Source organism: Homo sapiens, chromosome 5, assembly GCF_000001405.40.
Source record: "Homo sapiens chromosome 5, GRCh38.p14 Primary Assembly".
Taxonomy (NCBI): domain Eukaryota; kingdom Metazoa; phylum Chordata; class Mammalia; order Primates; family Hominidae; genus Homo; species Homo sapiens.
This window is the reverse complement of record NC_000005.10, coordinates 66,072,926-66,099,924: the sequence shown is the minus strand read 5'-3', so window position 1 is coordinate 66,099,924 and position 26,999 is coordinate 66,072,926. Positions and strand designations below refer to the sequence as shown.

General features: G+C 35.0%; 1 protein-coding gene and 1 long non-coding RNA gene across 18 annotated transcripts in view; both read right to left on the bottom strand.

The window, feature by feature from the left end:
* Positions 1 to 2,136: 2,136 nt before the first annotated feature.
* On the bottom strand, positions 2,137 to 15,545 carry LOC124900987 (uncharacterized). Its single transcript, XR_007058789.1, has 2 exons — positions 12,686 to 15,545; positions 2,137 to 11,633 (listed from the first exon to the last, which is right to left on the bottom strand). It is a non-coding gene; the product is annotated as an uncharacterized LOC124900987 (long non-coding RNA).
* ERBIN (erbb2 interacting protein) overlaps positions 17,379 to 26,999 on the bottom strand; it is a 155,972-nt gene continuing 146,351 nt past the window's right edge. For 13 of the 17 annotated variants that reach the window (XM_047417376.1, XM_047417378.1, XM_047417380.1 and 10 more), the window contains 4 exons: positions 24,695 to 24,901; positions 23,517 to 23,609; positions 22,976 to 23,050; positions 17,379 to 21,502 (listed from right to left, as the gene is read on the bottom strand). In XM_047417376.1, the coding sequence (XP_047273332.1) occupies positions 21,395 to 21,502; positions 22,976 to 23,050; positions 23,517 to 23,609; positions 24,695 to 24,901 (483 nt within the window). In that variant the 3' untranslated portion in view covers positions 17,379 to 21,394. The remainder of the gene's footprint in view (positions 21,503 to 22,975; positions 23,051 to 23,516; positions 23,610 to 24,694; positions 24,902 to 26,999) is intronic. The other 4 variants (XM_047417384.1, XM_047417385.1, NM_001006600.3 and 1 more) reach the window with 2 other exon arrangements.

Below are 26,999 nucleotides of genomic sequence, written 5' to 3'. Positions count from 1 at the left end.
AATTAATGTGTTTAATCCGTTTACATTTAAAGTAATTACTGATAGGGAAGAACTTACTATTGCCATTTTGTAAACTGTTTTCTGTGTGTCTTGCAGCTTTTTTTGTCCCACCTTTCTTCCCTTGCTGCTTTCTTTTGTGTTTCATTAATTTTTTTTTTTGTACTGACATGTTTTCACTCCCTTCTCATTTCCCTTTGTGTATTATTCTATAAATGTTTTCTTTGTGGTTACCATTGCAATTACATAAAACATCTTAAAGTTCTAACAATCTATTTGAAACTAAAAACAGCCTAACTTCAGCCATGTATTAAAACTCTACTTTTTTACATCTCTACCCTCCCCACTTAACGTTGTTAATGATACAAATTACCTTTTTGTATTGCATATTCATGAACATAATTTTATAATTACTTTTTATGCTTTGGGTTTTTAAATTCTTTACCACATTTAAAAGTGATTTACATGCCTACATTATAATACTGTAGGATTCTATATTTATCTATATATTTACCTTTACCAGGGAGTTCAATATTTTCATATGGTTTTGTGTTGCTCTTTATTATCTTTTTGATTCACCTTGAAGAACTCCCTTCAGCATTTCTTATAGGATAGGTTAAGTGGTGATAAACTACTTCAGGTTTTGTTTATCTAGGAAAAATCTTAATTTCTCCTTTATTTTTTGAAGAATAGTTTTGCCAGATATGGTATTTTTGGATGGCAGCTTTTTTCTCCCCCACTATTTTAAATATATCACCCCACTCCCTTCTAACCTGTAAGGTTTCTGTTGAGAAATCTGCTGATATACTAATAGTTGCTACTTTCAAGATTTTCTCTTTGTCTGTGACTTTTGATTATGACATGTCTCAGTGTACGTCTCTTTAGATTTATCTTAGTTGGAGTTATCTGAGCTCCTGAATTTGTATATCTATCCTGCTCTTCAGATGTGGATAGGTTTTGGCCTTTATTTCTTCAAATAAGTTATCTGCCCCCTTTTTCTCTTTCTTCTTCTGCGTGATGGAGATATATGCTAACACCAATGAATTCCATGAGTCTGGGACCATTGTTGCAATTCATTTGCTGTGAATTTACTTCCTTGATTAAAAGCAATGCTGTATGGAGTATTGTGAAAGTGGACAAGGCATTCTGTAAGTTCACACATAGCAGCTTTGGTAGAAGCATTGTGCATAGGGGAAATAAATCCATATCCAGAGGGTTTATTCCAGCAAGAATACAGTACTTCCCCTTCCACAATGGAAAGTAGTCCATTACAATCAACTTGTCACCAGGTAGCTGGCCAAACACTCCACTACTGGTACCATAATCTTTATTAGTTTTCTATTGCTGCTAATAACAAATTGCCACAAATTTAATGGCTTAAAACAACTTAAGTTTAGTATCTTACCTTGGTCAAAAGTCTAGCACAGGTCTCACTGGGCTAAAATTATGGTATTGGCAGGGTTGCATTTCTTCTGGAGGCTTTATAGGCGAATCTATTTCCTTGCTTTTTCCAGCTTCTAGAGGCCACACACATCCTTTGATTCATGGCCCATTCCTCTATCTTGAAGTTGACTCAAATCCTTCTCATGCCAACATCTCTTTGATTATCTCTTCTGCCTCCTTCTTCCACTTATTAATGACCCTTTTTATTACACTGGGCTTACCCCAATAGTCCATGAAAATCTCCATATCTTAAAGTCATCTGATTAGCAACCTTAATTATGTCTGCAACCTTAATTCCTCTTGGGTGTGTAACCTAACATATTCAAACTTTCAGCAGATTAGAACATGCACATCTTTAGGGGGTGGTCATTATTCTGCCTATGACACTATTGCGTTCAATTTGTCATCTTATATTTAGGATGTTTCAGGTGCGTATACTACTGAGATTGAGTTATTTTCTTTTTTGTTATTATAGTTAAATTTGAGAACCAGTGTTATTTTAGCTAGGCAAAACAAACCAAGTAGTCTTCCATTCTTTTATATGTTTTGGGATTTGGGATTATTTATATAATTTGGGAATAATCTGCTTCTTAGAATTATTGAATTTTTGAAATTTCAGTAAAATCACCCATTAAATCAACTGGACCTGGTGTCTTTTTTTTTAAAGGCTAAATATCTGACTCTGTTTTCAATTTCTTTTATAGTCTTTTAGGATTTCTTCTTCTTTCTGAGGTAATTTTGGTAATTAGTATTTTTTTTTTTTAGAAATTATGCTGTTTGTTTCAAAGTTAGTACTATAAAGAGCTACATAGTACACAGTTCTGTGCTATTTGTCATTTCAAACATATTTCTTCTCCTTCCCCCATCTACTTCACTTGATCATGGTTGGTGTAAGTTTGCTTACTTTATGGTCTGTTAGAAACCAATTTTTATTCTTTATCATTGACTAATTCTACTGGATATTTTTCTTGTTTTAATAATTTCTGATTTTACCTTTAATAATCCCTTCATTGTGCTTATTTAATCTTTATAAAACTTCACAAGTTAAAATTATACTTTTTTCTAACATATTGTTTTCTTAGAAATTCATTTAAAGCTATTAATTTTCCTTTGGGTCTCTTTTTACATGGGTTTTGATCTGAAGCACTCTCAGTATAAGTCACTTAAAATTTTTTTCTTTTCTTTTTTTTTTTTTGAGATAGAGTCTTGCTCTGTCACGCAGGCTGGAGTGCAGTGGCTCGATCTTGGCTCGCTACAGCCTCTGCCTCCCGGGTTCCAGTGATTCTTCTGCCTCAGCCTCCCAAGTAGCTGGGACTACAAGCATGCACCACCATGTCCAGCTAGTTGTTGTATTTTTAGTAGAGACGGGGTTTCACCATGTTAGCCAGGCTGGTCTTGAACTCCTGACCTCAGGCAATCTACTCACCTTGGCCTCCCAAAGTGTTGGGATTACAGGCATGAGCCACCGTGCCTGGCCTAAAATTTTTTTCTAATTAAATTTTTATTTCAACAACAACAACAACAGGAACTAATAGTTATTGAGTCAGAAATCAGGCCAAAACCTTAGGCATGCATTATTTAATTTAATCCTCAAAGCAATTTTATGAGGCAGAGTCTATTACTATCCCTACATTAAAGATGAGGAAAGTATAAGTCATGTAATCTCTACATGTCTTATTCTAGACCACAGAACTAAAAAATAATTTTATTTGAATTCACAAAGTGTATGATTTCAGAACTTATAAACTTAACCACTTTATTATATTGCAGACAGCTGTTTACAAAGGTGTTTGAGAATGTCTAGATAGATGGATTCTTTTATTTTTTCTTGCCTATTTCTCATTTTACTGCATGTTGTGTAAGCTTTCTAAATTGAAAGTTATTTTGTGTTTTACTATAGGGTCATTTTTTCTGGTAAATATTCCATATTTGAAATCAATTAATGTTCTTCAGTTTCATTGAGTATAATATCCACCTCCTCTTCTCTCTCGATAGATAATACATACACGTGTATGTGGTGTTTTTAAGGATCAAACTTGTAAACTGTGCTACTGAAATGCTTATATTTTGTCTCTTTGACAGGTCTATTTCTGAGAGAAGCATATTAAAGTCTCTTACTATAACAAATTTGTCAAATTATTCTTCTATTTTTGTTATTTCTTATAAAATGAACTATAGGATTTTTATAATTATATGATAACTAATTATAAAATTTTTATAACTACATGATAAGAAGTACAGGATTTTTATAGTTACAGGATAAAAGAATCTGAGGCCCAAGGAAACTAAAAAAATAAAATTTTCTTTTTTTTTTTTTTTTTTTATAGAGACGAGGATGCACTATGTTGCCCATGCTGGTCTCGAACTCCTGGGCTCAAGTGATCATCCCACCTTGGCTTCCCAAAGTGTTAGAATTACAAGTGTGGACCACCATGCCCAGCCAAAAATGAACATTTTAATAATGCATTATCTTTTGTAATTCTCACTAAGACTCTGATTAAATATTAATAGCTCCATGATTGTGATATTTACTTTAAAATCTAAATAATACAGAGATATAAAGAGCAAATCTGACAGTGCCCCATCACATCTTTCCCCCTCAAGTATTTCCTGAGAAATATGAACAATGCATCTTTCCAAATCTCTTTATTTTCCTCTCTTCCCAAGTTTTTTTAAAATTTAAAATCACTAGCCAGGTGTGGTGGCTCATGCTTGTAATCCCAGCACTTTGGGAGGCTGAGGTGGGCAGATCACCTGAGGTCAGGAGTTCGAGACCAGCCTGACCAATATGATGAAACCCTGTCACTATTAGAAATACAAACATTAGCTGGAAATGGTGGCATGCACCTGTAATCCCAGCTACTCGGGAGGCTGAGACAGGAGAATCACCTGAACCCGGGAGGCCCTCGGAGGTTGCAGTGAGCTGAGATTGTGCCATTGCACTCCAGCCTGGGCAACAAGAGTGAAACTCCATCTCAAAAAAAAAAAAAATTAAAATCATTGTTATACTTTTCATAGTGTATGTGTAATTTAAATTCATACAATCAATTATTGATTGATTCAGCTTCACTATTATAAACAATGCTGCAATACAATCTCTATTGTTTATGGATATCTACATTATAGCTTTAGCTATATTGGGCTGTTGGATAAGAATTTCCACATACAGATTTATAGAAGTTGAACTATAGTCCTTTTTTACTAAAGTCTATTGATTCTTTTATTTGAATTACAAATCCCTACCCGATTGGCCTCTTCTCATGTCTCCAATCTCAGTTTGCTTCCTTTCCCTTGTACTTGCTTCTGGCCTTTGTACTAACTCTTCTCTCAGTTTGGAATGCTCTTTCCCTTGATTCTCACAAGACTGATTCTTCCTTGTAACTTAGATCCCAACTTAAATGTCACCTCCTCTGAGAAACATTCCCTGGCCACTAAATCTAAAGTGGTTCTCGGCCACGTGCGGTGGCTCACACCTGTAATCCCAGCACTTTGGGAGGCCAAGGCGGTGGATCACCTGAGGTCAGGAGTTTGAGACTAGCCTGTCCAACATGGTGAAACCCCGTCTCTACTAAAAATACAAAATTAGCCGGGTGTGGTGGCACACACCTGTAGTCCCAGCTACTCAGAAGGCTGAGACAGGAGAATCACTTGAACCTGGGAGGGGGAGGCTGCAGTGAGCCGAGATCCCACCACTGCACTCCAGCCTGAGCAGGACAGAGTGAAATTTCATCTCAAAAAAAAAAAAAAAAAGTGGTTCTCTAGTTATACTCTATTACTATATAAGCCTTTTATCAGTAAGAACTCTCTCTGTATTTTTTTAAGCTTCATATTTGAACTCTATTTGGTGTACTACTAACATTAATATAAAACTTTTTTATTCAACATTTACCAGGTATATCTTTTGACATCTTTTAATTTTCAATCTTCTTGTGCTGTTTTAAACATGTATCACTTATAAACAAGATATATTTGGATATTTAAAGACCCAAGGTAAGAGATGAATTAAACCTTTCTCAATTATGTGATTACTGACACTTAGATGTATTTGAACAATTTCAAGTATTGGAAGAAAAATGACAGAATTTTCTAAAATTAAAAATGAGAAATCAGGGCCAGGTGCAGTGGCTTACACCTGTAATCCAGCACTTTGGGAGGCTGAGGTAGGAGGATTGCTTGAGCCCAGGAGTTAAAGAGCAGGCTCAGCAACCTGGTGAGACTCTCTCTCTACCAAAAAAAGAAAAAATTAGCTGGGCATGGTGGCATGCACCTGTAGTCCCAGCTACTTGGGAAGCTGAGGCTGGACGATCACTGGAGCCCAGGAAGTAGAGACTGCAGTGAGCCATGTTCATGCCACTACACTCCTTCTGGGAAACGGAGGGAGGCCCAGTTTCAAAAAATAAAAGGAATTCAGATTGAAAATGCACAAATTTTTAAAAGCACAAGATAAAAAAGAAAAACCCCATTCCTAGTCATATTATAGAAAGACTGAATTCAATCAAATAAAAATTTTTAATTACATGAAATGTAAACAAGTAATTCTAAAAGCTTACAGAAATATCTGTTACATATAAAGGAACAAAGAATCTGAATCAGATTCTTATCAGATATCTTAAAAGTAACACTTTGATAAGAAAGATAATGAAGACTCCAAACAATAGGATGACACCAATAACGTAACAGTAAACTCAACCATGCCCCCTAAGGTCCTAGACCCAACCAGCTAAACAAATCCCATAAACTGCTAGGATTTACCTTTGAAAGCCAGGTGATTTTCCTCTTAAGATCCTGCTGACCTTTTCACTTGGCTTGAGACATTAATATGGGTAGAGCAAGTTGTATTAGCAATTGCCCACACTGCTCTGGCCTGCAAAGTGGAAGTCTAGGACAATTCTATCACCCATAATAACCCTGGCCATTGAGTTGAAGCTGACCTGGATATCTCCAGGGTCAAGGTGATATCATTGAAAGTGTAAGCTAAATTCAAGAAGAAATATTACCTTTTCTAATTGAATAACTCTAATTGGGGATAACTGCCTGCATCAGCTGCACATATGTAATAAGTCAGTCATCCCATCAGGAAGTTCTCTTGAATATCCAATATTTGCACTTTGAAGAGATAATTGCAATCACTTGAGGGATACATGATCTACTGGTGATGTTTCCGTAAACATTTGCAGGTCTCTCATTACCACCCCTAAAGTGCAAGTCACATTGTTTTCAGGAAGAAGGCAAGTTAATTGTCCAAGTTGCACTTACATATCAGTTGAGGGGCACAGATTGACAGTGCCTCCAATGTGGCTTCTTGGCTGGCTTATGCAATGAAGGAGTCCCAGACCAGTTTAGATAAGTAAGTCTACTCCTTATTTTGGAGGAGCTGCCTTAGGGTAGTGAATCCAATTTATCCTGTTTGTGTAAGCCGCCAACTGGATGATATCCATTCAACCCACGGAATGACTGAACGACCATTGTGAGAATGGAGGTGGGAAGTACACCTGAAATATACCGTTACTACTTGACAAATGAGCATGTTGGACCCTTCCCACCTTGCTAGGTCATTGAGTCTCTAAATAGGAATAATTTGGTACAGGCAAAAGAGTCACAAGGCCTCCATAGGTCAGTCATTCCCCGGTAGCAAACTAATAGCGGCTTTTCAAGAGGTGTTCCCCACAACAGGAGATGACAAGTTCAAAACCTCGGGGGCAGCGTCCCATTGCAAGAAACTCCAACTGGCAAAATCTTCAGTCATTGAGACTTATTGTTCAAAAATGTCATTAGGATTTGGGGGTCTTTAGGTAGAGAGGTTGCCACAGATGGCTTCACAGCAATCACAGAACCACTTATAATGCACAGAACCACTTATAATAACTGGTTTGTGGGATAGTCTATATAAAGGACAAAGTGTAATGCTCAAGTAAGGCATATACTATCTCTAATATTAGACTCCATAGAGACCAATAAGGTGCTAGGCCTGTGTTTCTGTGGTGGGATGCTAAAGAGACAACAGCTCTTCCTTCACTTCCAGGAAGACTGAGCATTGTTAATGTGCCACATAGTTCCAAAACACTTAGCAGGCAGGCTCCTGAATTTTTTCAGGGTTTATCAGTCCATCCCTTCTGATGGAGGTGCTATAATTCTGCCTTCAGGGCCATTGACACCAAGGCTTCTCTTTCCAACCAACAGGATATCTTCTATACAGTGAAAGCCTGCAGGAAGAAGGTGAGCAACCATTAAGTCACCATTCAGGTGACTTGTTTCAATCCTACCTTTGCTGCTCAGCCTCTAAACATTCACTAACAGGTAAGATGGTAGGGGATCCTTCTACCACCTTCTTCCAACCAACTGGGCGAGATCACATGCTAGAAAATTTTCTCATTTCCTCTTACCTGCACCACTGGAACCCTTCCCTTTCTTTTTCAGAAAGTCAAGTCTCTGTCAGCATCCCATTTTTATCACCAAAAACTGTCAAGAACTGTGAAGGGTCTGGGAGTTTACCTTACTTGTAAGCCAACAGTTTACACTGCCATAATATCATTAATGCTGGTAAAAGACATAAGACTCTTCAGTCAGAGATAAAAGATTGTATTACTGACAGTACAGTAAGCATCATGTGTTTCATATATATGTTGGTTCCTCCTCCCCCAACCCAGGACCCATGGGAGTGACACAGAGCAGCCCAGGTTGATGGTGCATATGCAGTGGGTTTGCATCAAAGCTGAAGAACTCCAAGGTTAGGAAATCTGAAGCTTGTATAATGGGCTACAAGCAAACCAAGCTAACCTTTGCCCCAAAGGAAAACATAATCCTTATTATATTGAATAGTAAACAAACCTGCCCTCTGCTTCAGAGAGAGTCACGATCTCTGTCTTACAAGATGTCTTACAAAGATTTTGGAAAAGACAGTTCAGATCAAAGGTAACCAGTGCCTCACAAGATGTGCAGAAAAAAAAGACACTCAGAGAGAGTCATCTTCCAACAATAACTTCCATGAACACAAACACAAAATTCTTTACCAAAATATTAACCAAATCTAGCAACATATAAGATGGGCAATATGTGATTACCTCATAGGAATTAACCCAATAACGCAAGATTATCCTTCAAAAATTAATCAATGGAATTTAACATATTAACACATTAACAAAGAAAACTCTATGATTGTCTCAATGAACACAGATAAAGCATTGAACAAATATCAACATCCATCTATGGTAAAACTCTTAATCTAAGACTAGAAAGGAACTTCCACAATCTGATCAGAGGCATCTATCAAAAACAATAAAACAAAAAACCAGCAGCTAACATAATATTAAAAGACTGAATTCTTTCTTTTTAAAATCAGGAAAAGGCAAGTATGTTCTCATCACTTCTATTCAACACTGGACTAAATAGTCCAGCCAATGCAGTAAGGCAAGAAACATAAAGGCATTATATATTAGGATGAAAAATGGAAGAAATATGATAGTCTATAAAAAAACTAGAACTGATACATTTAGTTAAGTCGCAAGATACAAGGTCAATATAAAGTCTCCAACTTGATGGTTCAACTTAATGATTTTCTGACTTTACAATGGTGTGAAAGTAATAAATATTCAGTAAAAACTGTACCTCGGTACAGTATTAAATAAACTACATGAAATATTCAACACTGTATTATAAAATAGGCTTTGTGTTAGATAATTTTACCCAATTATAGGCTAATGTAAGCATTCTGAGCACATTTAAAGTAGGCTAGGCTAAGCTATGATGTTCAGAAGGTTAGGTATATTAAGGCATTTTCCACTTATGATGGGTCTATTGAGATGTAACCCCTATTGTAAGTCAAGATGCATCTGTATATAAAAAAATCAATTGTATTTCTACAGTTAGTAATGAACAATCAGAAATTAAAATTTAAGAAACCATACCATTTGCAATAGCATCAAAATGTGAACTACTTAGGGACACATTCATTAAAATGTATGAGATCTGTACACCACAATCTACAAAATATTGCTGAGAGAAATAAAAGAAGACCTCAAGTAATATCATGCTCTTGGATTGGAAAACCAATATCATTAAGAAGTTAATACTCCCCAAACTGATCAACAGATTCAATGTAATCCCAAGTAAAATCCAAGTAAGCTTTATGTGTTGTAATTAATAAATTCATTCTAAAATTTATTCAGAAATGTAAAGGTCTTGGAATTACCAAAACAATTTTGAAAAAATAGGAAAATTTGGGAAGAATTACTCTACATAATTTCAAGACTTACTGTAAATCTCAGTAGTCAGGACAGTGTGGCACTGGGCATAAAAATAGGGATATAGATCTATGAAACAGCATAAAGAATTCAGCTATGTACCTGTACATACAAGGCCAATTTATTTGACAAAGCACCATGGCAATTCAATAGGGAAAGAACAATGTTTTAAATAAATAGTACTGGCACCAAAAAATGAACCTCAACCTACGTCTCATTCTATATATCAAAGTCAAGTACACTAAAAGTGATGACAAGGGCTTGGAGCTAGATTCAATTAGCTTCTTCTCTTTTCTCTTTTTTTTTTTTTTTTTTTTTTTTTGACAGAGTCTTACTCTGTCACCCAGGCTGGAGTTCAGAGGCACAATTTTGGCTTACTGCCTCCCAGGTTCAAGCGATTCTCATGCCTCAGCCTCCCAAGTAGCTGAGACTACACCTAGCTAATTTTTGTATTTTTAGTAGAGGTGGGGTTCCACCCTGTTGGCCAGGCTGGTTTTGAACTCTGAGCCTCAAGTGATTCACCTGCCTTGACCTCCCACAGAGCTGGGATTACAGGCATGAGCCAGCGCACCTGGCCTCTTGCTTTGTTGAAAGTCTATCTGATGTCACTGCCTTTTAATTGAAATCTTTAGACCATTTATATTTAATACAACTTTTGATATGGTTAAGCTTAAATCTACCATCTTACTATTTGTTATCCCTTTGTCCCTATTGTCGCTGTCTTCACTTTTTCCTCTCTATATGCCCTCTTTTGGATTATTTTATGATTTCATTTTATCTCCTTTGTTACATTATTAGCTATAACTCTTTGGATTTTGTTATTTTAGTGGTTTTTTATGGTTTACAGTATGTATGTTTAACTTACCACAGTTTACCTTTGAATGATGCAGTACTTCACATGTAAGAACCTTATAATATACTTACATCTCTCCCCTCCTGACCTTTGTATTATTGCTGTCATTTTACATTTACATATGTTATAGATCCCACCCTACATTGATTGTTACTTTTGTTCTAACAGGTAAGATTTGAAGATATTTAAATAATGAAAAATTTTAAAAATATTTACCCATGTAATTACCAGTTCTGGTGCTCTTCATTCCTTTGTGTAAATCCAGATTTCAATCTAGTATCATTTTCTTTCTGCCTAAAGTACTTCCTTTAACATTTCTTATAGTGTGAGCTTGATGGTGATAAATTCTTCAAGTTTTTTTATGTCATAAAAAATTTTTTTTCTCTTTATTTTTTCAAAGATAGTCTTTGGTACATACAGAATTCTAGGTTGACAGTGTTCTTCTTTCATTAGTTTAAAGATGTTAATATATTGTCTTCTTACTTGCATTCTTTCAGGCAAGAAATCTGCTATTACCTTTGTAATATATTGAAGACATTTAAATAATAAAAAATTTTTAAAATGTTTACCCATGTAATTACCAATTCTGGTGCTCTTCATTCCTTTGTGTAAATCCAGATTTCAATCTAATATCATTTTCTTTCTGCATAAAGTACTTCCTTTAATATTTCTTATAGTGTAAGCTTGATGGTAATAAATTCTTCAAGTTTTTATGTCATAAAAAATTTTTTTTCTCTTTATTTTTTCAAAGATAGTCTTTGGTACATACAGAATTCTAGGTTGACAGTTTTCTTCTTTCATTAGTTTAAAGATGTTAATATATTGTCTTCTCACTTGCATTCTTTCAGGCAAAAAGTCTGCCATTACCTTTGTCTTTATTCTTCTTGCATGTCCTTTTTCCTCTGGCTGCTTTTAAGGTTTTCACCTTATCACTGGTTTTGAGTAATTTGATTATAATACTCCTTGGTATAGTTTCCTACATGTTTCTTGTGCTTAGCGTTTGTTGAGTTTGTTGGGCCTGTGTGTTTTTAATTTTTATCAAATTTGGAAAATATTCAGTTATTATTTTTCTTTCTGGCCCCTCTTCTCTCCTTCAGAAACTGTAATTACACATATATTAGTGAAATTGACCCATAATTTATAGTTATTGTTCATTTTTAAAAATTCTTTAAAAATCTCTAAGCTTCATTTTGGAGTTCCTATTATTTTGTCTTCAAATTTAGTAATATTTTGTTCTGCATTGTGTGATCTGCTGTTAATCTTATTCATTGTATTACATACCTCACACATTTCTAGTGTAGAATTCACTTCTACAAGTGTAGTTTTCATTTCTAAAAATTTAATTTGCATTTAAAAAACTTTCATGTCTCTTAGCTTTATGATTATCTGGAATATAGTTATAACCATATTAATGCCATTATCTGAATTCTAACATTTGTGTCAGCTTTGAGGTCAGTTTTGATCTATTTATCTCATTATGGGTCATATTTTTCTGCTTCTTTGCATATTTGGTAATTTTTTGTTGGATGGCAGATATTGTGAATTTTATGTTGTGGGTTCTGGGCATTATTGTATGCCTATAAGTATTCTTGAGATTCATTCTGGTTTACAGTTATATTACAAGAAAACAGTGTAATCCTTCCAGGTCTTGCCTTTAAGATGTATTAGATGGGACTGAAGCAGATATTAATCAAGGGTTAATTATTCCCCACCACTGATGCAAGATCATTTTGTGTACTCTACCCTATGCTTGTGAATCATGAGGTTTTCCAGTCTTGCTGATAGGAATAGGTATTATTACCCATTGTGTGTGGGCACAGGGCACTGTTAACTGCAAGTGCAGGTTACTGTTACTTCTAATCCTTTCAGGTAGTTCTTTCCCTAGCCTTAGGCACTTTACTCACACAATGTGCTGCAGTACTTGGGTGAATTTACAAAGGCAACTCTATGCAGTTCTTTGGGGTTCTCTGTGTGCAGCCCTGTTCTCTCCATTATTCTGCCTTGTCAACTGTACCTTCGTTGGTTTCTCTGAACTCTTAGTTCCACTTCCTCAACATAAGGAGTGTGCCAGGCTCTGCAGGGTTCTCCCTTCCTGCTCCATGGCCTGGAAATTCTATCAAGGTAGTAATCTGGGGATAATCATAGTGCTCACCTCTTTTTTTTCTCCATCCTTCAGGGACCACGGTCCTTCATTTCTTGATGTCCAGTATTTTGAAAATCATTGTTTCAAATATTTTGTCTGTTTTTATTCATTTCAGGAGTTAGGGTAAATCCATCATGGCCAGAAAATAAATGCCAAAAAACTTACTCTGAAATGTATATGGAAAAACCAGGAGCTAAGAAGACTCATCCTATAAGATGGTGATTCTCTGTTATCCTCAAACCATAAGCATCAGCATTACCTGAGAACTTGCTAGAAATGTAAATTCTTGGGTTCCAACTCATACTTAGTTAATTAAAAGCCATATGGGTGGGGACCCCCCAACCCTCTAATTGACTCTCATATATAGTGAAGATTGAGGATCACTGCTAATAAGATATTAAGATAGATACAAAGTTTTAGTTATAAAAATAACATGGTACATAAAAGCAAATATAGAAAAATGTTGATAGAAGAATGTAGATGATGAGTGGTCATTATAAAACTTAAAACTTTGCTGAAAAAGAAAACACGACACAGAGGCATGGACAGAAAAACAGACCAAAGGACATAATAGGGGGCTCAGAAACAGTCCTGCGTATACACAGGTATGCAACTGTATTGATATACAATAAAGTTTGCATCGGATTAATAGGAAAAAGTAGCCATCAGAAGAGAAAACTTGGAGCTAGATCTCTACCTTACATCATATTCAGTGGTAGACTCAAGAAGAAAAGATCTAAATGTTAAGTAAATCTAAGTAATTAATAGAAGTAAATGTGGGAGAAAGCCTTTGAACCTTTGTGACTCAGGAATGAAGAAAACTTTTTTAATTAAGAATCATGAAGCGTAAATGATAGATTTGTCCTTATCCATGTTAATCTTTTTTTCTAAACAAACAAACAAGAGATACCATAAACAAAGAGAAAGAGAAACAGGCCATGGACTGGGAGAAGATACTTGGAATGTTTCAAATGACAAGTGTAATAACTGAAATAGACAATAAACTGGCCAGGCACAGTGGCTCATGCCTGTACTCCCAGCACTTTGGAAAGCCGAGGCGGGCAGATCACCTGAGGTCAGGAGTTAAAGACCAGCATGGCCAACACGGTGAAACCCCATCTCTACTAAAAATACAAAAATTAGTTGGGAGTGGTGATGAGTGCCTGTAAGCCTAGCTAGTTGGGAGGTTGAGGCAGGAGAATTGCTTGAACCCGAGAGGTGGGGGTTGCAGTGATCTAAGATCACACCACCGTACTGTACTCCAGCCTGGGTGACAGAGTAAGACTCCATCTCAAAGAAAAAAAAAAAAAAAGAAAGAAAGAAAAGAAAATAGACAAAAAACTGCTACCAATTAGTCTTTACAGAAAATGGGAAAAAAAGGAGACAAATGGGCAAAAAGAATAGGAAATTTACAGAATTGTAAACCTTAACAGCTGGGTAGTTGTCAAATACCCCAGTAATCAGAAAAATGGAATTTAAACCAATACCAAAATAAAATGTTATAGCTACCAAATATGTCAAAGTTAGAAAGTCACATAATATTGTTTGCAAATATGTGAGGAAATGAGAATCTTCACATCTAGCTAGTGAGAATATAAACTAGTATAGATTTTTAAGAAAGTAATTTAGCAGAATTTACTGAAATTAAATAGCCCTGTGACTTAGCAACTATATTCCTAGGTATATATGCTAGAGAAATTTTTGCACAGGTCCATAACATGACATGAATTAGGATACTTACCACTACATTGTCTATGGCAGCAGTGAAGTGGAGAAATTGGCAGTATCACAGGTGTCCATCACTAGAAAGATAGATAAGATGCAGTAGAGTCAAACTGTATTTATTTATATAAACAAAACATATGTAACACTAAATATTTATTGTTTCTGTAGTTACTATTCACCCAAGAATTCCAACTTAGATTTTTCTATAAGCACTTAAAATTAACCAATCTATAGTTTCTTTTAGAAAAAGTTATTTATGGCCGAGTGCAGTGGCTCATGCCTGTAATCCCAGCACTTTGGGGGGCCGAGGCAGGCAGATCACCTGAGGTCGGGAGTTCAAGACCAGCCTAACCAATATGGAGAAATCTCATCTCTACTAAAAATAACAAAATTAGCTGGGCGTGTGGGCGCATGCCTGTAATCCCATCTACTCAGGAGGCTGAAGTAGGAGAATCACTTGAACCCAGGAGGTGGAGGTTGCAGTGAGCCAAGATCGCACCATTGCACTCCAGTCTGGGCAACAAGAGAAAAACTCCGTCTCAAAAAAAGAAAAAGAAAAAGAAAAAGCCATTTATTTGACTGGGCATAGTGGCTCACACCTGTAATCCCAGCACTTTGGGAGAAAAGTGAGAGGATTGTTTGAGGCTAGGAGTTCGAAACCAACCTGGGCAATATAGTGATATTCTGTCTCTATAAAAATAAATTTTTAAGTTGGATTCTTGTCTCACTTGCAGAAACCATCTAGTATTTTACTTCCATTCTTATTTTACCATCACCGCTAATTGCACTTATTTCTGCTCCACTACATGGTTTTGGTCAATATTATTTCTTAGATTTCAGATCTACTTTTAAGATTTATTTTTCATTTCATTGGAGTATTCCCTGGTACTTCTTATGGGGAGGTAAGTTTTGAATCCCTGAATTCCTGAAAGTGTCATTATTTTGCCCTCCAACTTGAATAACTTTCAAATTTTGGATGTATTGCTTTACTGTCTTCTTGTATCCAAATCACTGGTGAAAGTTCCAATGTCAATCTCATCCTGTTCACTTTGTAATCATTTCCTTTACATTTTGGAACCTTTTAAGATGTTCTTTTTTTTTTTTTTTTTTTGAGGCAGAGCCTCACTTTGTTGCCTAGGCTGGACTGCAGTGGCACAATCTCGGCTCACTGCAACCTCCGTCTCCTGGCACGAGTGATCCTCCCATATTACCCTCCCAAGTAGCTGGAACTACAGGCATGCACCACCACACCTAGCTAATTTTTGTATTTTTTCTAGAAACAGGGTTTCACCCTGTTGCCCAAGCTGGTCTTGAACTCCTGGACTCAAGCGATCAGTCCACTTTGGCCTCCCAAAATGTGGGATTACAGGTGTGAGCCACCATGCCTCGCCAGTGATGTTTACACCTACTCTAAAATTTCATGAAGATGTATCTAGAAGTGTATGTTTATAGTTTTGCTTGGTACTAAATGGACTCATTCAGTCTGAGAACCTATGCTGTGCTTCAGCTCTAGGAAAGCTTATTTTTTCCCCTTCATTGTTTCCTTTGAAGGATTCACGTTGGAACATGAGGACTTCTCTTCCATGTCTCTTTTCACATTATTTCTTAGTTCATTTGCATTACTTTCTATGCAATCTAAACCCAAAGAGCTTTTTAATTTGCCCTTGGATGTCTCCTTACTACTCTCCAGCCCAGCTGTTGAATTTACTTTTGACAGTTCTATTTTACATTATAAAGACATCTAAATCCTTTCATTAACAGCTTGTTTTCTAAACTCAATATCCTTTATCCCTCAGAAGATATCATTTTACATATTGATTTCTTTAGACACTGGTACTTCTGTTTGGTGATTCTCATGGTGTCACTATCTGCACTCACGGTGGGCAAAAGGAACATGCCAATGGTCAGATCATGCTAGCTCAAAAGGGCTATACTGGTTTTCCTTCTTAATCTAGGTATCCGCACTCATTGCTCCTGCTTTGAACCAGATGTCCTTTCTGCACACAGCTTGGCATATAAAAGGTGGTTGAACTAAATCAATTCCTTATGATGCAGTATCACCATCATTCTTGGTCCTTTATATTGTCTTCTGAGGCATCTGAAGCAAAATACACATCTCATGGTAGAATTCTCTGGCACTAGCCTTTAAAGAATTTCTCAAAAATTATGGGCCGGGCGCAGTGGCTCAAGCCTGTAATCCCAGCACTTTGGGAGGCCGAGGCGGGTGGATCACGAGGTCAGGAGATCGAGACCATCCTGGCTAACACAGTGAAACCTCGTCTCTACTAAAAATACAAAAATTTAGCTGGGCATAGTGGCGGGCGCCTGTAGTCCCAGCTACTCCGGAGGCTGAGGCAGGAGAATGGCATGAACCCGGGAGGCGGAGCTTGCAGTGAGCCAAGATTGCACCACTGCACTCCAGCCTGGGCGACAGAGCCAGACTCCGTCTCAAAAAAAAAAAAAAAAAAAAAAAAATTATGGATCCAGTGTACTCCCTTTTTTTTTTTACAAAACTGGTAATATTATTATTACATAACACTCTTGCCTATCATAGTATTAATAATCTTTTCTGTCCTTTGTAGGTATGTGGACAGGATGAGGAGATTGAAGCATGCTCCATTTTGCTACCTTGAATAATTTATCTGCAAACAATTCCTCTTGTTCTTGGGAGAATGAATGTTCCTTTGAGGGATGCTGCAGTGAAGGATGATCCAAATATGAGATGTTTAGTGTGCATTCTGGACAGGCATTACTTCTCAGAGTATTAGGTTCTTCTTTTCATGAAGATGAGGAAACTTAAAATCATCTAAAATCCATGCTCTCTGCTCATGCTTTAATTTTTTAACAATTTGTATTAGTTTTTCTTTTCTAACAAGGAAAAGTTTGAAAGAGCAACTGAAAGAAGATCCTTCTAAAGCTATACCTTGGAGGAACACAATTTGATTAGGTTTAAGGAAAGTCAGTATTTATAGGCTTGTTTTCATGAAAAATAAGCTTTATTGAATCCCTTGAGGGGAAAAGCATAATTTTACAGCTTAGGTTTCTTCCTTCCCCAGTGATACTAGTTTCTCAAATTTTATCCTGAAATAAAACCGTGGGCCGATTGAGAAGCTAGATGGGCAGATGCGTGACAGATCACCATTGTCCCTGGTTGTTACATTAGAAAAGAAAGTTGTAACAGAAGGATTCTTTTTGTCAGCCTCTCTCCTAAAGATTCTATAGAAAGGTTCAGGAGTATTTTGATTGTTCTCTACAATAAAACCTAGGTTGTTCTCTTAAAAAAAATTTCAGGTGTTTTCTCTAAACATTCTCTAACATTTTAGGCTTTCTCAGCTTAGGATGAGCTTCTCAGGTGGTTGGATATTAGGACTGTACGTTATAGCTGACCACAGATTCTAATCTTGAAAAACTGCTTCATGAGACTGTAGAAGATAGCATTCTCTTAAGAACTTTCCAAAACTAAATGACTACTTACTATCCCCTGGGCTTATGAATTCTGTAAAGAATTAGCAGCTTTAGGTAGAATATGGTCAACTTTTTCTGAAGGTCCTTATTTAGAAACAAAGGAATACCCAAAGGTCTGAGTTGGCTGCCTGTCTAGATTACTTTTTCTTTTTTTTTTTTAAAGAGGCATCTTGTTCACTTGTTCATCAATTAATGCTCTTGAATCATAATTTTTATTTCAATGTCCATTTCATAAGAAACCTATTCACTGAACATTAAAACAGAAGGCTGTAAGAATGCAACAGACTGAGTGAAAAAAATACCCTTCCAAATAGATTTCACACGTCAATCTCCATCAGAGAAACATTTCCCATCTTAATGCCTCCCTTTAGAAGTAAATAATAATAATTTGAGATAAACTACACTTCTTCCACACCTAGATATACAGGGTTTTAATGCTAAAAAAAAATTGTATATTTTTCATGAGAATTTCTCTAACCCCGAATTTTGTAAATAAACCAGTTTAAACATCATTAGTTTGTTATCTATCCTCTATGTGTTACTTCATCTAGATATATACAAAAATTTGGAATGAATAAATGTTGGTTGATAAAAATATTACATAGCTGCTAATGGGATTTTTTAAGTGCAGCAAATTAATACTTAAAAGTTTGGTTCTGCTTATGGCAAGTTTTGTGTTTAAAAGAATTAAGTGTATATATATATATCTTCATATCCAGTCCAAAGAGGTCAGAAGAATATTTACAAAATAAATATGTAGGGAATTTTAGAATTTCATTGATTCAGATGAAGTGATAATTCCTTAATTAGCATAAATCTTTAGATTGTATCAACTATTGTATGCCGTATAAATTACTCTGATCAGTATTATTTTTTTACTGGTTAGAGTAAGAAATTACTCTTAAAGACAAAATCACTAAAAGACAGTTGTGGTTTTGATGAATTGCTATATAATACTTACTAAAGTTAGTTATGGGTATAGGCCTTAACTACAATTTACTCAACAATATATAAACTAAAAATGTCTTCTCCACTTCCTCAAAAAATTTAATTATTTTATTCAAATTTTGAAACTTTATTACAGCAAAATTCTAATTCAAAGTCCTTGTCATTTAATTTTAGTTTTCCAATACTTTCAAAGAAAACTTGGCTATAATACTCCTCTTGGTAAAGTTTCTTACGCAACTTTATGTGTTGCAAGAATACTATAAAATTTTAACTAACTAGAGTAGGATAAAATGCCAGTGCATATAACATCTGTTGCATTTATAATACTTCAATGTAATGTGCAGACAATGAAGTTAAGGTTTGCTGAAGATCCATTGTTCCGTGAGGCTTAATTCCTTTTCCAAAATTATAATTGGTATATGTGGTTCAAGGTAAAGTAGTTGAAAACTTCACAATTATACTTATTAAATATATTTCTGATTAAAAGTAGAATGTGCCTGTGAAAATCTGAAATCAATAAAAGAAATGTTAGCTATTTTAGAATGCCAAAATTAATATTTAAAAACAAACTAAGAATAAAGGGAACACCGAGACTTGTCTTAAAGAAGCTGTTTGTCATTCTTTTTTTTTTTAGATTACAACACACATACAATAAGTGAATTTTATCAAAATACAGCACATTTCTTCTACTATATCCATAAAAATCAATTCCTATGTAAATAGTACTGAAAATCAACTAAAATGAGTTAAAATTTACAAAGAGTTGTTAAAGGGTTTCAATCAAAATTATTAAAACTATACAGTACAATAACCAATTGATAACATCTTGAAAGAAGTGCAATATTTGAGTTCACATATTTTTAAAAGTGCTGCCTACTTACTCTGACTAGCAAGAATGGAAAGTGAGTCCAACTCACTTTTGCAAAAATAATGTTGGTTGGTGTTTTAAGCTAGTCTTATAAAAGTCTTAATTAAAATCAAGGTTGATAAACAAAGCATAACAGATTAAAAATTCCCAAATTGCATTTCTTAGTAAATAAAAATGAAGTGCAATAACCAAATATTGCTCTAATGAAAGGTTCCAGACTAGCCTCAACTAAACAGTTATTGGTCTTCTATGGCACTTTTTTCTGGTCCAAATAACCATGCATTAATCCTTACCATTACATGTTACTCAAATTTTATTTGATTACATAGAACAAAAACAAATAAAATTAATGGTCTGGATAAACAAAATTAATAAACCTCTATCATCAAATATTTGTTACAGTAACTAGGAACAAAGAAAGGCAGTTGGTGGTAAAACACTATTACACTGATACACATAGAAACCCTTTAAAGACTCTGGAAGTGTTGAGTTCACATTTAATGTTACCTGTAGAAACAGCCCTTTATTTGAACACCTTTACACACTGGCAGGCCTCAAGGACCCATCCCTTTGCTCTATAACTCTCCACAGCAATTCTCTATCACTGTGCCAGTTTCACAAAGCTTGCTTTGGTTTCCTAGCTCCAAGTGTACTGTTTCCTTTTACTTTACCAAGGCAATGCAAGGCCAAACAAAAATCAAAGAGGCTTTCCTAAACCTTCGTAACATTTTGTGTTACAGGCAACACAATCTTAAAACTGGCCATTTTTGTTTCATTTGCTGCTTAAAATAAAAATTATAAATTAGATTTAAATGGAGCACTAATTATAAAACAGATTGCAAGTACCACCATTTGAAAAAAAAAAAAAAATCAGTGGATTTCCATAACACAGAAAATGCATGGACATGCATCTACAGTAGAGTTAAAAATTTCCTGTGACTAAAAAATTAAAAACTGAATCACCAGTAGCAAATGTATAGTCAATGGCTATGACAAGAACAGATCCTGCCGAGCTCATAAATGCAATTATTGTCTTTTTTGCTTTATAAAAAAGACATTACATATTTTATTGCATTATTCTCCTAATAAAAACATACTACCACGTAGCTCTCCCCATCCCCATTCTTTGCTTCCAGATTTTTATAGAAAATAACTGTTTTAGTCTGGCCTTGGAAAGTGAACCCACCAGCACCACCTTCACCTACTCACTCTTCAATTCAATATGCACATAGCAAAAGCCAACACTTCAAATCTCTTGCCCACATCAAAAAAAGTAGTTTCAGGAGAAAAACATTAATACCAGTTGAATAAAAATAAGGGCATAAAAGCTATGAGAGAGATAGCTCTGCCATCTGTCTCTGGGCTAAAATCAAGGCTAACTATTGCCTTGCACACAGTTCAGTCATGTATATGAAATCCAAAAATAAACCTACAATCTATACAAAAACAACACAGGTTTGTTTTTGTAGCCTTGATTGCTATGTTTAAAAACCTAACAAGTTTTATATGGTATGAATTCAACAGTCTCCTTTATATTCTGTACAGTGGTTCTTTCCCTCTAACCACAAGTTCCATTATTTCATTAATGTACAAATTTGAACATAATTTTTTGAGTTCTTCTTTATATATAAAAATAGTCAAAATATTAATTTCCCCTGTAAGTATCTTCCAATAAATCTTGCTGTCTTCCCCGCTTTTTTTGTCCACAGTGCTTATGAGGAAACTTCTCGTACAATGATGAGTTCAACTGTATTCTGGAAAGTTTTTAGCAAGGACACTGCTTGTCCATGTTCAATATTTATAAAACTGTAGCCATTAGCCTAGAAGAGGAAAAATGCTTTTAGGAAAAACATTTTATAGTTATTTATTTGCATTTCTGCCAAGTAGTTCACAAACTTGGAAGAAAATAAGAATCACTTTGGCAACTTAAAATAACATACAGATTCACAGGCCCTACCCAAACCAAGGAATAAAGTCTCTGAAGATGGGGTCTAAAAATGTGTATTTTGTCCAACTTCTCAGCCAATTCTTATGTAGCAGCCCAATGTTAGAAATCACTTACTTAAGAAATAATGTCAGACATGGTGTCGTATAATGCTAATGTGTATCTGAGGTGACCAAACTGTAGCGTAGCAGGGGGCAAGGGCTACTCTTCCCATTGTCTTGGAGCCATCACATCAAGACCACCATATTTCTTACAATTAAGCTTAATATTTACTGAGGTTCTACTGTGTACCAAACACACAATTCTAAGGGTGTAATATGAATTAGATCCTTTGATTCTCATAATGCTCAAAAAAGATTCTTTCACTATCTTATTTTAGAGAAGAGAAAGCCCAGGCATGGAGAGGCAAAGTAACTTGCTCAGTCACAAATTGAAACCCAAATGGTTCAGAAAAATAAATGTGTATAACTGTATGAGTGAGTGTGACTGTGTGTGTGTGTGTATGTGTGTGTGTGTGTGTGTGTGTGTGTGTGTGTGTAGAGGGAGGGAGGGAGAAAAAGAGAAGAAAGAGGAGAATAAATGATAAAGACAATGTAGCAAATTATGAACGACTGGTGACCAATTGATGTAATACTGGTGTTTGTTGTAGTATTTTTGTGGCTTTTTTCTAAGCTTAAAATTATTCAAAAAAAATTTTTTTTAATTAGTTTTATTTTTAGAAAGTGTTGGGACCAGAATTTAAACTCAGGCAGTCTGGCTTTCAGAATCTGTACTTTCAGCTATTAGACATTAATGTCTCTCTCTCCCTTTTTTTTTGGTTTGAGGATTATTTTTTAAGTTCTTTAGTTCTCAGCTAAGAACGGTGACAGTAGGGGTAGAAAATGAGAGCTATACTTGTGTCCTAGGTTTGTCTTCCTTCTAAGACTGTAAGTGTTTAGGTAAAATGAGTAGCTGAATGAACAAAGAAAAGGAGGGGACAGGAAAAAATGAGTTTCGCAGATTTAAAATTTTTCTTCTCCATTTCTGAAAGGACAATAGCCCACATCCAAGAAGTGGTACTCTAATCCCCCTCAAATTAGTAAAAATTAACATTCCTGAGCTTAAACAAAATCCTATGATGTATCAAACTTTTTTTTTTTTTTTTTTTGAGACAGAGTCTCGCTCTGTCGCCCAGGCTGGAGTACAGTGGCGCGATCTCGGCTCGCTGCAAGTGCCGCCTCCCGGGTTCACGCCATTCTCCTGCCTCAGCCTCCCACCCACAATTTTCAAAGTTAAAGTGAAAACATTTTAAACTGTGAAAACATTAGAGTGTTATAAAATGAAAAAAAAAAAGATTTATTTTAATTACCTGAATAATTTTATCACCTGGCTGCAGTAATTTTGATGCTGGTCCTTCAGGTTGTACCCTTGTTACAAATATACCCTTTAACAACAAAAAAAATTATTTAACTAAAAACAGTATGTATAAATAACAGAGTACCAAGGAGCAATTTTTCCTCCACACCATGCAAATATTTGAATCATGGTACAAGTTTTCTCCCTGACTTCTCTGAGTAATACTGTAACAAACTAGTTATTTTTACCTCTAGTAATTCTGACTTTAGTGATTTCTCTTGAGAGTAATAAAATTACTTTTATAGGTGTGTGAAAAAGCAATAAGAAAGTTAAAAATCATTTCATTATATCATAAACATTCATAGTTTTTGGTTAAATTGTTTTAACTTGAACTGATCAAATTACAAAACAAAAAGGTAAGCAATAGAGTGGGGAATCCAGGTGATGTCTACCTAGATTTACATAAACATCTATTAGATTTTCACTTACATTTAAGTATTCAATCGGTAAATAAAACTTTATAGGTGTTTCAAGAATATACAAAGAAAACTTACATCATCATCAGGTCTGAATGGGTTTCCTCTACCCCCGACACCACCTGATATGCTAAATCCAAGTTCTGGATCCTTTTCAACCCTCACTCGAATCTGAGTTAATATGAAAATAAAGGAAACTTACTATTTCAGAAAAAGTTATAATGCAACAACATCCATATTTAAATACTGATTGGTTAAGTCCAAGCAAACATAAACATAAGAATTCATCAAAAATAAATATTTGGTCAGATGAAGTGAAATACAACATAGAATATTATGTTAATGAGTTAGTGAGTTAAAGGCAGAGCTGGGATTATATAAAGCATAGCTCCTAATTTTATTGCTTGTCTTATGAGGATAAGGAATCAATTAATATTGACCCTGTTTTACTTTTTAGACGTCACAGATTTTATATGACATAGTACATAAACACAAAACATGTATATTATTATCAGTTTCCACTTGTGGGACATCTAAATTACACAGTATCTCTGTTTAGTGGCTTGTTACATAAGATATCTAAAAGATCCACTGGTGGTTTTATGATACTAACTCTTTATTTATCAAATCTGTTTAAAGGCTTCAAAGGAGTTGGGATTTTAAAACATGACCAATTGAGAGTTTTTATAACCAAGCTAAAAAAAAAGATGCAAGAATTAAAACTGTGTTATAAAACACTCCCTTTCACCAGAGACACAACCAAAATGAATAAAGCATTTGATCTCTACCTTTCTAATATTATCATTTTATTAATAACTATCAAGATATAAGAATGTGTAGCTCGCTGACTTTTAAAGTACTTTTTAAGATTAAATACTCAAAGTAGTTTGAAGTCTGTAGTCAAATTTCAAAATCTAAGGAATTAAGATTTTAAGTGTCACAGAACAATTTCAGCTTAATGGTCTCCTATTTATATTCTTAAGGAATGTCTGACTACTGTAGTATCAACCAGTTTTGGTAAAGAAACTGTATCAGAATAAATAAATCATGCCCAAAATACTAAATCCTATGTTACATGATCACAAAGTCAAATAAAAATTACCAAGTTTAACGCCTTATAAACGTAACATAAAAATAAAACTTTAAATGGTAATAACTACGTTAATATTCTGTATGGATTTACTAATAATTAAGTAACCTATAAAAATACATAAAAAGCTTAGTCCCATATTTCAAATAGTCTTGATTATTCTTACCTCTTGTTTTGCCAGTTCATGGCCTTGTCTAGGAGAACAATGGGGCTGTGTATATGGAGGCTGGTGGGCCACTTTCAGCATCAAGTAATCAATTAGTTGTTCTCTAGAGGGATGCCTTGCCACAGATGCCTGAGGGGGGTGATGTATTTGACTATAATTTGCCTGAGGCCTGAGAGGCTGGCCCATCTGTCCATTACTCAAAGGCATCTAAGAAAAACATGAAGTATCTTAAAATGACCAATAATAATGTCTTATTTCAAATATTTGGATTTCTTCTTGGAGCATTACAAAAGCACTAGAGTTTTCACATTCTAATTAAGTCAAACAATACCATGCCACTTACTATTTTTCTATAATTTTAAAACTTAAAAGAAATAAGCTATTAATGTCTTAATTCTAAAGTTTCCTGAGTGCTTGTTGTTACACTCACTTTTTTAAGCTTTCAAATGGAAGTACATCATATCTACATTTTAAATTACTTGCTTTTTTGTGAGCTACACTTGTATTTTCTTAGATGTATCTATCTTATAATAACCAAATGTTAAAATGGCACATAGTATACCAAAATTTTAAAATTTAAGCCAGTCTATGAGATGCATATCTTTTCCCATACTAAATCAAACACACATACACAAAAGGTACATTTGCTGACGTTTTTCTTCAGAAAAAAACTAATTTTGTGGTAAAATTCTTTCCAAATTTATTTTTCTGCTTTTATTCCTTCTTTTCCAAAATTAACAAGTCAATTCAGCTATCTATGTAGAAAACTGATTTATTCCTTGTGTGTATGTTAGCAACGTTTATAATCTCTTATTATTAATTCCATAGACTATTAGCCATAAAAATTAAATGTTGACATTCTACCCTATTCATAAAGTAAACAGCAAAAAAATTTAAATTATTAGTTTGTTGTTGTTAGAGAACTATCTTTGTTTTAATGCCTCTCATTTTTAGAGAATAAACCTGACTTAAAATCACCTTTGTAGAAATGTGGCTAATAGCTTATTCTGTTAGCATGAGGAATCTATCTTAAAAACAAGAGGCAGGGTGCAGTAGCTCATGCCTATAATCCCAGCATTTTGGGAGGCCTATACAGGAGGATTGCTTCAGGCCAGGAGTTCAAGATCAGCCTGGGCAAAACAGCAAGACCCCATCTCTAAAAAAAAAAAAAAAAAAAAAAAAAAATTAGCTGGGCATGGTGGTGCACACCTGTAGTCCCAGCTCCTTGGGAGGCTCAAGTAGGAGGATCATTTGAGCCCAGTAGTTTGAGGCTGCAGTGAGCTATGAGCATGCCACTGCACCCTAGCCTGGGTGACAGAGCGAGACTCCATCTCTAAACAACAACAAAAAAGAGGTTACAGTCATATTACAAATATTTGCATATAAAAAGATTTTTGTGTAGAAAAATATGGTTCAGCTATTAACTTATAATTTCCTTGTTGGTTATTAACAGACAGAAAATCTCATAGACAAGGAAATTATGGGAAAACTATGAGGGAAATAGTTGAGGTCCAGTTCCCTAAATTAACCCAAATAGAAAAGTTTGCAGAAAGATATGGCAACACTTTCAGAACTGCATGCTTTTCTTGGTGAACCTTGCTGAAAGATATAAAGTAGTTTAGCTTTGGTATAGATTTGTATTTTTAAAAAAGGCATTCTATTTCACTGTTAAACTGTGTTATACTTGAGAACTTAGTTAAATTCTGAAGTCTAGGAACACACATGGGTATTCTGTGATAGGACACAAGGATGTTACTGACAAATCTTATATTGGTTGGAGAGAAGGAAAATGAAGGGCTATATTAGCCCTACATTTCTGGAGGAAAAAAACCTGTTTATTACTTGATCACTGTAGATTTAATGCAACTGATTTGCCCATGAGTAATTAACTGGTTCTGCTGTTGCTTTATTACTTACATACAATTCTGCAGATAGCCCATGATTTTCTCTACGTTTATACCATTTATTCCTACATGCAAATTCAGTATCTTTCTCCTGGGTAAAATCCAGGTGACAATTACTACTGACCTTAAGACTCCCTGACACCAAATATTTGGTCTTGCCTACATCAGTGTTAAACATACACATGGAATATATTAAGCTACAATTAGCAGATGGCTCAGGAAATTAGAAAGTATTAAACTCAGTAACCCTAAGCCACAAAATATATGTAATGAGAAAAAACTGGATGACAAAGCTCAATTAAAAGAGGGTAAAATAATAGAAACTTAAGAACTTATATATTAGATGAACTTAAGTATTAGATGACTTATGAACTTATATATTAGATGACCAGGTAGCTACT